The 12,662-nt window shown below is 40.8% G+C and overlaps 1 long non-coding RNA gene across 1 annotated transcript in view, besides 2 other annotated features; it reads right to left on the reverse strand.

Annotated features, from left to right (window-relative positions):
- LOC100506403 (uncharacterized) overlaps positions 1 to 12,662 on the reverse strand; it is a 208,258-nt gene that overhangs the window by 40,640 nt on the left and 154,956 nt on the right. The window lies entirely within an intron of this gene.
- Positions 1,339 to 1,954: an enhancer, noted in NCBI's record as "NANOG hESC enhancer chr21:36786783-36787398 (GRCh37/hg19 assembly coordinates)". NCBI's record gives its function as "activates a minimal SCP1, AML or CMV promoter by ChIP-STARR-seq in primed H9 embryonic stem cells {active_cell/tissue: H9 hESC(primed)}" and the evidence as "EXISTENCE:reporter gene assay evidence [ECO:0000049][PMID:30033119]".
- Positions 1,585 to 1,879: a silencer, noted in NCBI's record as "tiled region #1205; HepG2 Repressive non-DNase unmatched - State 24:Quies". NCBI's record gives its function as "represses a minimal TATA promoter and a strong SV40 promoter by Sharpr-MPRA in HepG2 cells {active_cell/tissue: HepG2}" and the evidence as "EXISTENCE:reporter gene assay evidence [ECO:0000049][PMID:27701403]".

Raw genomic sequence — 12,662 nt, forward strand, 5'->3', positions numbered from 1 at the left:
TCCAGCACTCTTTGTGTAGGAAGAAGGCACAATAGGAAAATGTGCATATGGGCTTCTTTTTTTTTTTTTTTTTTTGAGACAGTCTCGCTCTGTCACCCAGGCTTGAGTACAGTGGTGAGATCTTGGCTCACTGCAACCTCCACCTCCCAGGCTCAGATTATCCTTCTGCCTCAGCCTCCCAAGTAGCTGGGATTACACACATACGCCACAACAGCCGGCTAATTTTTATATTTTTAGCAGAGACAGAGTTTCACCATGTTGGCCAGGCTGGTCTTGAACTCCTGACCTCAGATGATCCGCCCGCCTCAGCCTCCCAAAGTGCTGGGAGTACAGGCTTGAGCCACCACACCTGGCCGGCTTACTTTTAAAAAAACAGTAAAAATATAGAAAGAGGGAACACCAAAACAGTAAAATCAGGTTACCTACAATGGGACGTAAGATACCAGTGATGAGAACATGAAAACGTGAAGCTTTTATAAGTAAAACTGTAATATTTTGATTTTTGAAGACATGTTTAGAGTCCACACATTTTTAGAAAAAAATTAGTAAGAATGAGGAGGAGAAAAAAAAAAAACTAAAACCAAAAGCAGACTGAAAAAAAAGAAGATGATTGTATTTCAAATGAGTACCAGACAATGATAAAGGGGAATAAAGAAAGTGAGAAAGCAGGAAAGAGGTACTGGAAAGAAGGGAAGGAGGGAAGAGGGAAGCAGGGGCGGGGAGAAGAAAATCCAAGTAACCTGAAGGAGGGAAAATCCAACAAATTTATGAACACAGTATCTGACTTTAGAACCTCTGTTTTGGGTAGAGTGGAATGGGAACAGGAGAATTGCAAACAAATCCTGACTACTTGTAATAAATAAATTAGTAATTAGGTAATAAATTGCATTAATAATCAGATGAATTAAAATTCATCTAATCAAAAGAATTTCTTGTAGTGTATGGGCAAAAAAAAAAAAAAAAAAACAAATCCTGTGACCGTTTTGGATGTATTGAAAGAGGAGCAAATATAAAAATGTGCTGATGTTTGAGAACCCTCAGGTTCTCAAACAGGCACTGCAGGGTTCTCACTGCAGAAAAAGGAATATGCAAATATGTAATGGAAGAAAGAAACAAGGGACTCTGTGGGGATAGATTTGAATTCGAGGTACTGGCATGAAGTCATGATTTCTAAAATATGCGTGCTTATGTAGATATATTTTGTGTATATTTGCTTGCATGAATATATTGGAAATATACATATACATGTATATATTTCTTCTCTGCCCATTGAAAGGGCCAAGAAATTGTGAGAGGAAAATAAAATCTCAGAACCCCAAACTCCCTATGCCAAACGGAAAGTTAAGCTTAAGAACTAAGCCTCTCAAAAACCGCCTAGCTGTAATTTCACACGCTTACTTTGTCTTATGTAAAATGCAGATTTACTGAGCCCGAGATGAATGCACAATTGACTTTTCCTCCCACTCCTTTCTCTCCACATGTAAAATGTAGATCCACTGAGTGCCAATCAGAGCCTCACAAGCATGAAACCACTTGCCTCATTGCCTACCCTCCCCCTGGCCCTCCTGCTGGTTCTTTCCACTTTAAATATTGAAGCCCTCTAAACCCTCTGGAAAAAGCACAGATCCTACTGTGACTTGTGTTTCTTTTTCCTAGGTGCATCCTCAACGTTGGCAAAATAAACCTTTGAATCGACTGAGATCTGCCTCGGTCATGTTTAACAAAAACAAAGACATTCAGTAGCTATGAGTACTCCTAGAGCTCAGCTCTTCACTGCAAATGCCATCCCCCACTAAAAGGAACAAGAGCTCTTCAGAGGAATAGCTAATTCCAGGGCTTGGGGCAGGGTAGGTCAGCATGAGCTGGAAAGGAAGAAAGTAGCTTATAGAATGAGAGAACTATGTTGTAAGGACACAGGAGCCACCAACGGAGATCCCAGTGGCCAAATTGTGGACAACTGGAATCCCAAAATAATGCAAGTAGAATAATGAACTATTGACAAATAGGAATTCATGAATACACAGGCATAAAAAGTAAGGAGAGAGGGATGGATCCTATAGTAGAATGCCAAAATCTGACTGACAGATGTGGAAAGCATGTCGGAGTTGGAAAATCAGCATTCTGCAATAATCATGGCAAAGACTGGATCAGGCAAGTATTGTCAATGCGTGTATTTAAATCTAAAGGGATTTTTTTTTATGAGAATCAGGATATTTTCAGGGTCTTAAAATGTCATCCCATTGACTGCTTATTAGTTGCAAAGGAGAGAAAAATAGTAACTCAACAGTGAAGATATCAAACTCCACTTTAACCAAGTGATCAATGTTAACATCACCAAAGAGGGCTGGATGGCCGTTGAGTGTCCCCAGATATGGTACTCTGAGAAGGACACACCATTCCCTATGTAGTATTTCAGCATGGAGCACATGACCTGAATGTAATCACACACAGAAAAAAATCAGAGAAGCCCACGATGAGAAATGTTCTATTAAAATAAGCAGGGGCATGGGCTGACTATATTCTTCAAAATGTTAACATCTCAAACACAAAGAAAGCCTGTGGAAATATTCCTGATTCAACAGGGGAACTAAAAAGACAAGACGATGAAATGCACTACCTGATACCAGAGGGATCCTGTACTGCAGGAAAAATGCTCTAAAGGACATTACTGGGTCAACGGACACATTTGGAACATAAATGGTAGATTAGATAAAACATGTTATCAATGTTAAAATACCAAAGTAGATAAGTGTACCATGATTATGTAAGAACATATCCTTATTCTTAGGAAATAGCCCAGGAAGAATTTAGGCATAAAAGGGCATGATATACGTAACTTACCCTCAAATAGTTCAGAAAAACAGGTACGTGTGTGTGAACACACGTGTATGCATATGTGTGTGTGCACATGTACATTTGAATGGAGAGAGAAAAAACACAAAGGCAAAGCAAATGGTAAAAATGTGTGTGCTAAATGATTCGTGTCTGCTCTTCATGTTATTTTCATTTTTGTAACATGCCTTTTAGTTAGAAATTATTTTCAAATAAAAAGTTTGAAAATGATGCTTGTACACACTGAATGCATCTACAAATGGCTGTCGTGAAACAGCCCATTGTCGTGATGTTGCTGAGAGGCCATCATTAATCAATACATATATATTAATATGTCATTCCTGATGTTTTACATCACATTTTAATTGTCCACTAGAGCTTTGATTTCCAAACCTTGCCCTTTAATGGGTTGTATCTGAATCCCCTAGGATGCTTTTAAATAATAGAAATTCCAGGAACCCGGAACCTGATATAGAAGGTCTTGTGGGGGGCTCGGAATCTGTTTTTCAAACAACCACTGGAAAGAGAATACATCCATGCATATACTTATGAGCAACATGTTCTTTAAAATTCCACCCAATTTTTGTGTTTGTAAAGTGACATTCCAATCGTGTCAGTCCTTCACACTTGCACTGTATACTTAATCTCTTTTGATTCTTTCCTATAGACCATCACTTCACCCTGGACTGCCCAGGCATCATCCACTGAATATCCCCCGAGGCCAGGTTAAACATTGGTTCAGGACATTCTATTCCCTACATCCCTCACTCAGTCGTCCTGCTTTCACTGTTCTATAGGCTACCACATGTATCAGCTCTATTCCCCTTCTGATCCTAATCACCCCTGGGATCAAATCTGAGCTATCATCACAACCTCCACGTTTCACCTATTAGAGAAATGATCCTCAGGTAGAAGGGCTTGTTATCCTTCCAGACGTCTCTGTGATTCTCAACCTGCCTGGTCACCTTTCCTGTTTGTTCCTTCTTTTTTATCAAAACATCTTTATATGTTACAGAGAGATATTACACACAGCATTTTGTTTCAGCACAGCAATTTGTTCATTTGATCGCATCTAACTGAAGTATCTGTCAAGGATGAGATAAACGTGGTTTCACAATGGGGACTATCACCCAACCTGGCAGTCTCACCTCTCAACTGCCTTCTGGGCCTGCCTAGATAAAAGCTGTTGTTCTGTGCTGTAAAATAACAAAATAACGTTGGTGTGTTTTTCCTCCCCACCAAATAGCCCACAGCCATTCTCCTAAAATTGATGACGTTTTCTTTTTTTGACACCTTCTTTAACTGGTTCAGTTACAAGCTTATCTGATTTTGATATCAATGTCTCAATTCCAGCTTAATCCTTAAATAAGTAATGAATGAAGCAATGACTCAAATGGCATCACCCCGTTTTATGGACCTGAGCATGTTTCACACAGTGCGCCCGCTGCTCAACCTCATGGGCACTGAGTTTTCTGTGTTGTAGTGAACAAGTTTTCAGCTAAAACTAATCAAGGAAAGATCAACAGGCTGCCCTACAAGAATATAAACTACAAGGAAATTTTATGATGTGTGCATACACTTGTTATCTAAATACTTGTTTAAAAAATAATAGAAGGTTCATCAAGTCTCAACATCTTACTGAATCAATAAAAATTCAAAATGCCTGTGTTTTATGAGTGACCAGGAGTGACCTTTCCCCACCTCTCTACCCAAGGCTCCAGGGTAATTTGAAAATGACAGCTCTGGATACAGTAGTGGTTCTCCAGGTGTAGTCCCTGGACAAACAGCATCACCCAGGAACTTGTTAGAAAAGCAAGTTCTTCCTTCCACACGTCCACGTGTTCTCGTCATTTAGCTCCCACTTACAAGTGAGAACATTCGGTATTTGATTTTTCTGTTCCTGCATTAGTTTGCTAAGGATAATGACTTCCAGCTCTATCTATGTCCCTATGAAGAACATAATCTCATTCTTCATGGCTGCATAGTATTCCATGGTGTGTATGTATCACATTTTCTTTATCCAGTCTATCACCGATGGACACTTAGGTCAATTCCATGTCTTTTCTATTGTTACTAGTGCTGCAATGAACATACATGTGCTTGTGTCTTTATAATAGAATTATTTATATTCCTTTGAGTATATACCCAATAATGGGATTGCTGGGGCCTATTGGACAGTAGAGGGTGGGAACAGGGAGAGGACCAGGGAGAATAACTAATAGATATTAAGCTTAATACATGGGTGATGAAATAATCTATACAACAGATCGCATGACACACGTTTACCTATGTAACGAACTTGCACATGTACCTCTGAACTTAAAAGTTAAAAAAAAAAAAAGAAAAACAAGTACTCAGGCCCCACCCCTGACCTACTGAATTAAAAAAGTCTATTATGAGGCCCAACAATGTTTTAACAAGCCCTCCTCCAAGAGCTACATCATTGTCCAGGTGCTGGAGATCTCAAGGCTGATACTAGCTTCACGAATTCTTTGACCAAGTGAAATCAAATAGGAAAAGAGAATATACATAAGTTTTCTAAAGTTTTTCTTAAGCCTAAACTATGTGTTTAACTATCCAATTAAAGTTGAATATTCATTATTTTTCCTGTTTTTTGAAGTTATTATGGAGAACATTTGCTGCATTCTTTATTTGGCTGGAGATGCTTATAGTAACCAAGGCTGAGTTATGGTGCTTGCCTGAGGTGCAAATTCAAAGGCACAAAACTCATAAATCAAGATGAATATTAATGCAATATTTAAAAAGTCAACACTAATCCAAACAATTATGATGAACAAAATAACAAAATTATAAATGGAGATTAGGCCAGCCCGGAACTTTTATGACTAACCCTCTTACATCACTCTAATCCTGGCCTTGTTAGTGATAACCTCATACTATCATCAATACATTGTGATAACCTTGGAAGAGGAGTGTATCAGTTGTGTCTCATATATGCTCATTTTTTCCTGAGTGTTTTGCCAATGGCATGGTCATAGATGGCAGCGTATAATGGGAGCAGAGAGGACTGGGGACCAGCTAAGTGGAGCACAGGCAAAGTAATGTTCCAGAAGCCTGGGGAAGGTGCCATCCGGGGGGACCTAAGCCAGGATTTGAGGTAGACGTGGGAGAGTAGAAACAAGTGGGAGACTGGAAACAGCTGGGAGTGATGGACATAACTATTTGCCAAATGCCATGATGGGACAGCGATTAAAACAAGTAAAAAGTCATGGTTAAGTTCACACAAATAACAGGAGACAGAAAAAGCCTGTGAGCCATAAAATTAGGCAAAGCTGAAAGGAGGGAGTTGGCCTTGAGACCAGGAAAGAAAGTGGGCCTGCACTAGAAGAGACAGTCCCAGAAGGTAGCATGACATATATAAAAAGTCAAGATGCCAGGCATAGTGGCTCATGCCTGTAATTCCAGCACTTTGGGAGTCCGAGGTGGGAGGATCGCTTGAGGACCGGAGTTCAAGATCAGCCTGGGCAACATAGCAAGATCTTGTTTCTACTTAAAAAAAAAATTTAAAATTAGCTAGCTGTGGTGTCTCAGCTCTCACCTGTAGTCCCAGCTACTGGAGAGGTTGAGGCAGGAGGACTGCTTGAGCCCAGGAGTTCAAGGTTGTAGTGAGTTATAATCATGCCACTGTAGCCCAGCCTGGGCAACACAGCAAGAAAACACAAAAATACAAGTCAACAGCTAGGACATCGTTTGGAACTACGCATACGTATATAGATCTGCAACCAGCTTTTTTCAATTAGCAATATATTCAGAGAAAAAATTTGTATCAGAAAATATGGTAGTGCTTCATTTTAAGGCAACGCCATGGTATCTGTATTAGTCAGGACTTTCCAGAGACAGAACCAGTAAGAATGGATGGATAGAGATTTGATACACAGAGGATTGACTGATAGGTAGACAGATGACAGATAGATGGTAGATAGACAGACAGACAGATAGATAGATAGATAGATAGATAGATAGATAGATAGATAGATAGACAGACAGATAGACAGACAGATAGATAATGTGATTTATTTTAAGGTATTTGCTCAGGGGATTGTAGAGCCTGGCAAGTCCTGATTCTACAAGCAGGTTGGCAAGCTGGGTCCCAAGGAAGAGCTGATGCTGTAGCTCTGGTCTGAGGGCAGTCTGGAAGTAGATTTTCTTCTTCCTCTGGGGATCTCAATCTTCTTCTCTTAAGGCCTTCAGCTGATTGGATGAGGCCCACCCATGTTATGGCAGGTAATACACTTTACTAAAAGTCTACAATTTAAAGTTTAATCATAGCTAAAAAATAGCTTCACAGTAACATGTAGACTGGTGTTTAAGCAAACACTGTGCACCATGGCCTACCCGGGCAACACATGAAATTAACCAACAATAACCATGAAATTAAATGTAACCATTACAGTTTAGCCACAGTAATTTCTATAACCAGCTTCTGATTGATACAGATTTTTCCTTATTTTTCCATTATCATGAATAATGATACATACAAATAAAAACATTATTTTATATGATAAATGATGATATAGATTTTATATCCATATATGACATGATACTGTTACATGATAATATTGTATTATTTTAACATGATAATATAGATATTTCTGTTGCATACATTCAACAAAGTGGACCTGCTGCTCAGAAGGTATGTGCACTTAACAAATCATAATGGATACTGTCAAACTGCCTCCCACAAAGCTTCATTCCACAACAGCATGTGAGAAAGCTTGTTTCCCTACATGCTCTTGGACACTGGGTATTTCCAAGAATCACAATATTTGCCAATACACTTTTCATGAGCATAGCCAAGGGAAGTGGGTAGAAATGGGAGCAAGAGCAGTAGTGGCTGGAGCAGGCGGGCCCTGGGACTTTCTCCACACAGCAAGCATGCTGCCCACCATGAGACATTAGAATGATTCACCAAGGCAGTCAATGTCTTAAAAACGAGAAGCACAAAAGAAAGGCATTATGTCACTCAGGGAACATTGGCACAATTTTCTTTCTTGAGATCCCAGCTGATCCTGCCTCATCCTTCTGCAGAAATTACAAAAGGAGTCACCCCAGGGGGATTCTCCTTCAAAATGTTCTTTCAAGGACACTTTTCGAAGAGGAAGGGAACTGGATTAGACCACTCTTGCATTTCTACACAGACATACAAGATGGGAAATTTATAAAGAAAAAGAGGTTTAATTGGCTCAGGGTTCTGCAGGCTGTACAGGAAGCATGGTGCTGGCAGCTGCTCGGCTTCTGGGGAGACCCCAGGGAGCTTTTACTAATGGCGGAGAGCAAAGCGGGACACTTTGGTATCCCATGGCCAGAGAGGAAGCAAGAGAGAAAGGAGGGGGATCTAAGTTCCTTGAAACAACCAGCTCTCATGTGAACTAAGCAAGAACTCACTCATCATCAAGAGGATGACGCTAAGCCATTCATGAGGGATCTACCCCCATGACCCAATCGCCTCCCACCAAACCCCACCTCCAACATTGGGAATCATATTGCAACATGAGATCTGGAGAGGACAAACATTCAAGCCACATCAGGAACCTGCCTGAGCTGCTGGGAACTCACCCTCATCTACCCTCTAGCCAGAAGCTCCATGTGGCAGGCACTGTTCACACACTCTATGTGCATTGACCTAAATGAGTTAAGTAGAATGTTTCTAACATTTTAGAGATGAGGAAACTGAGGCACAAGGTATTCAGGTATTGACTACGATCATACAATTGAAAAATTGAGAAGCCAAAATTCAAACCTATATGGATTGACCTGGGGCCTGTGTGAGAGGTTCCACTTACATCTATGTAAGGTTTCAATTGAAGAAAGGGCTCAAAGGCAAGAAACATGAGCAAACTGCTGCTCTCAGTGGCGCCAGAAGTGACACCCTCGGACTAGGAATTTGAAGAAAAGCTCCAGAGTAACATGCCAGGTACACACACATGCACACAGGTGCATGCTGGTTCATGAAAGCACCCATACTTTTCCCACTCAAACTGCCATAGCATCCAAAGTCTACCATTAGAAATTCATGCCTATTCTTCACTACCCTTTCTTCTTTTAAAATTCAAATTCCACATCATGTCAGATTACAGCAATCATCAGTTTATTTGATCCCTGTGAGAAGATGATCAGATTCAAACTTAGGGATAAAAAGCAGGAGGGTGCTGGGTGAACTTAGAAGGGATGGTGCTAAGAGAAACATGGAGTGCTAAAAGAAGACCCACAGATGCATTCCACCACTTTCTGGAGTGTTCAGACCTGTCTGAGGATGTCTGGCAGAATGGTGGGGTGCAGCTGCCTGGAGTCAATTTGCATGCAGGACCCAGGAACATTCTGGAAAAAAGCATGTGCAGATGTAATACAAAGGTAAGCAGATAAGGCTGGCTTGACCAAGTGCCTGCTTCCTGAACTTTCTGAATGTAGCAGGGTCTGTTTTCACTACAGATTTCCTAAGACATCTGTGCGTAGGTCCTGCCTTGATGATCCTCTCATGGCACACAGTGACCAAGTGGGAGAGAAGCTTCTCCACACTTAAGAAGGCACCTTGGGTGGAGAGAACTCCAGAAAACAGACTAGCCTCATCACCCCAAGACCCAGAGATGCTGTAGAGTGCTGGTGTGCCAGTGGTCATGGGCAGAAGGAACCAGGGCACGAGTGCTGGTGCCCAGGAGAGCCAGGGTACCTAGGAGAAGAGGCAGAGGTCCTCTGTGAACAGGCTGGTGGTAACAGAAAGCAGTGTTTGATGGGTGTATTTGAGAGCACCATCATTCACTAGTAAATACTTGCTCAGAAATATGTGAGGGAGACTTAAACTGAGAACTAGAGATGAGGAGGTGAGGTAATGTCATCTAGGGGAGGTGACAGCAAAATGTGGAAAATAATTTTCCTATTATTATGAGTGAATTGTGTCCCCCATGTCCCAAGGTTTGTATGTTGAAGCTTAGTACCCCAGAAAGTGGCCTTACTTTGAAATAAGATCATTGCAGATATAATTAGTTAAGATGAGATCATACTGGCTTAGATCTACGCCAAAATGACTGATGTCCTTATAAAAAGAGGAAATTTGGTGGATGCAGTGGCTCTTTCCTGTAATCCTAGCTCTTTGGGAGGCCAAGGTAGGCAGACTGCTTGAGCCCAAGAGTTCAAGACCAGCCTGGGTAACATTGCAAGACCCTGATTCTACGAAAAATGCAAAAAATTATCTGGGCATGATGGCACATGCCTGTAGTCCTACCTACTTAGGAGGCTGAGGTGGGAGAATTGCTTGAGCCCAGAAGGTCAAGGCTGCATTGAGCCATGATTGTGCTACTGGCATTTCAACCTGGGTGACAAAGCAAGACCGTGTCTTTTTAAAAAGAAAAAAAATGGAAACATAGACATGCACACAGGGAGAACACCATGTGAAGATGAAGGCAGATATCTGGGTGATGCTTCATAAGCCAAAGTAATGCCAGGTTGCCAGAAATCCACCAGAGTCTAGGAGAGAGGCACACAAGATTCAGCCTACAGCTTCAGAAGAAACCTTCCCTGCTGACACCTTGATCTCAGTCTTCCAGCCTTCAGAGCTAAGAGATAATCAATTTATGTTGTTTAATGCAACCCAATTTGTGGGACTTTGTTACAGCAGCCCTGGGAAATGAACACAATGAGGAATGTAGCTGCATTTGTACCCACAGGCCAATGTGACCTGGGTCAGCCAACATCTGCAACTAGAAGCTCACCTTGAAAATCGATGCTCCTTAAACTCATCACCAGGACCTGATTATGATACAGTCAGCCAACTAATTACTGCCAAGAATAAGAAATAAAAGTTTTCTGTTTCCACCAGAGTAAGAAGGTCCAGCTGTTCCATTAGGAGCAGTGATTAATCCAGTTTTGAAGAGCTGGGTATTTCCTGTTGAGCTAGGTCTTTCCTCTGGGGAAATTCTTATTTTTCACAACCAAGGAAGAAAGTCTTATTCACTATATGGCAGGAACTCAAGAAACATGGTATTGAGGATGTTGATGACAGAGATGATGGGAGTAGTAGTGGTAAAAATAGAAATTAGCCATTTCTTCAATAATCTTCACTATAAGAGTTGGATGGAGCACAACCATCTTCCATGGAAGTTGTTCCTGTTTTCTCATTTCACCTTCTGACATCACTTGTAAAATGTATATTAAGACAGCAGCATACTATTTTTTGAAATGAGACACTTAAAATACCCTGAATCAAGTAAAAATATGAAAATCTTTAAATTAATAATAAGGACTTGCTGGCCTTCAGAACATTCATTTGAGCTATTTTTGATATGTGAGAAAGTTGTGCAATCTCGTCTCTTGTAATGTGACTTTCACTAGTGTATTAGAGAATATGTTATTCCAATTTGCAAAAATTATGTAACCAAGAATTTATTTGCTGTCTTTCATATGCCAAGCAGTGTGTAATGGAGAATAAAGAAACTCAATACGTGGTTTCCGCTCTGAAGGACCTTACTTGTTAAGCAGGGCAAGACCTTAAGACAAGAAGCAATAATGGGTGAATAAGGTGAGGTGATGAATTTTTCAAGACTAAGAAAGCTCGAAGAAGGAAATATGCAGTCCTTGGAGAGACAGGACCCAAAGCAACCTCACAAAACCAGTCCTGTTTTGACTGAAGAGTCTGTCTGGCTTAGACAATCCTTTTCATCTTTTGGTTTCTAGTTTGGTACAGGGAAAAATGTCCTTGATACGCCAAAGCATTCTCATGAGAAATGCACCAAAATTTTTTAAATGTGCATTTATTTGATGATCAGCAAATGTTAGGTCAATTGTGGTAAAATGTTTTCTGGGTCGGGCGCTGTGGCTCACACCTGTAATCCCAGCACTTTGGGAGGCCGAGGTGGGCAGATCACAAGGTCAGGAGATCGAGACCATCCTGGCTAATATGGTGAAATCCCGTCTCTACTAAAAATACAAAAAATCAGCCGGGCGTGGTGGCGGGCGCCTGTAGTCCCAGCTACTCGGGAGGCTGAGGCAGGAGAATGGCGTGAACCCGGGAGGTGGAGCTTGCAGTGAGCCAACATCGCGCCACTGCACTCCAGCCTGGGTAAAAGAGCGAGACTCCGTCTCAAAAACTAAATAAATAAAATAAATAAAAAACTTTTTCTGACCAAATGGACACCTGTTGGTTTTGCCTACTCAGCACCCATTTCCTTGTTGTTGTTGTTGTTGTTTTAATGCAAATATTTTCCTTTAGAAACCACCTCTCACCCACCCTCAGACTAACCACATTGGCTGGGACTGATCCCACTTATCCCTATTTTCCTATGGGCCCTGACAGCAGCCTGGCCATTCAGAGCAGTCCATGCCTCAGGCCAGACTTGGGCTCAAGAATTGGCATAGCTTTGTGTATATGGAGCCAAGACGTACTTTGAAAAGTACAACGTTGTTTAATAAGTATTTAAGTGCCCTTTTCATCTGCCAATCAATTTAAAATAAGGTATTGAACTACTAGTAAAGTCTAAATTAACGTCATAATATTAAAAATAAAACGAATATGATATTCAAAAATATATCAATGTCTTGGGAGGGTTTTAAACAAGCGTTTTAGAAATACTTTAGAAACAATTATCTGGGCCAGACAGATATAGTGCTTTATGGACTGAGTTGTAGGTTTATGATCCTTACATTATCCAAAGCACCTGATAAATCACAGGGCTGTTTCGGCTCTTTCCAATGGTCACTGAAAACTTTGAGTAGATATAATTATCAATGTTATGCACATTTTCTACATATTGAAAGCACTGGAAGCTCTTCCTACATAAAGTATCAAAATATGAAATAGTTTGAAAAATGTGTCAGGC

Source organism: Homo sapiens, chromosome 21, assembly GCF_000001405.40.
Source record: "Homo sapiens chromosome 21, GRCh38.p14 Primary Assembly".
In the NCBI taxonomy this organism is placed as follows: domain Eukaryota; kingdom Metazoa; phylum Chordata; class Mammalia; order Primates; family Hominidae; genus Homo; species Homo sapiens.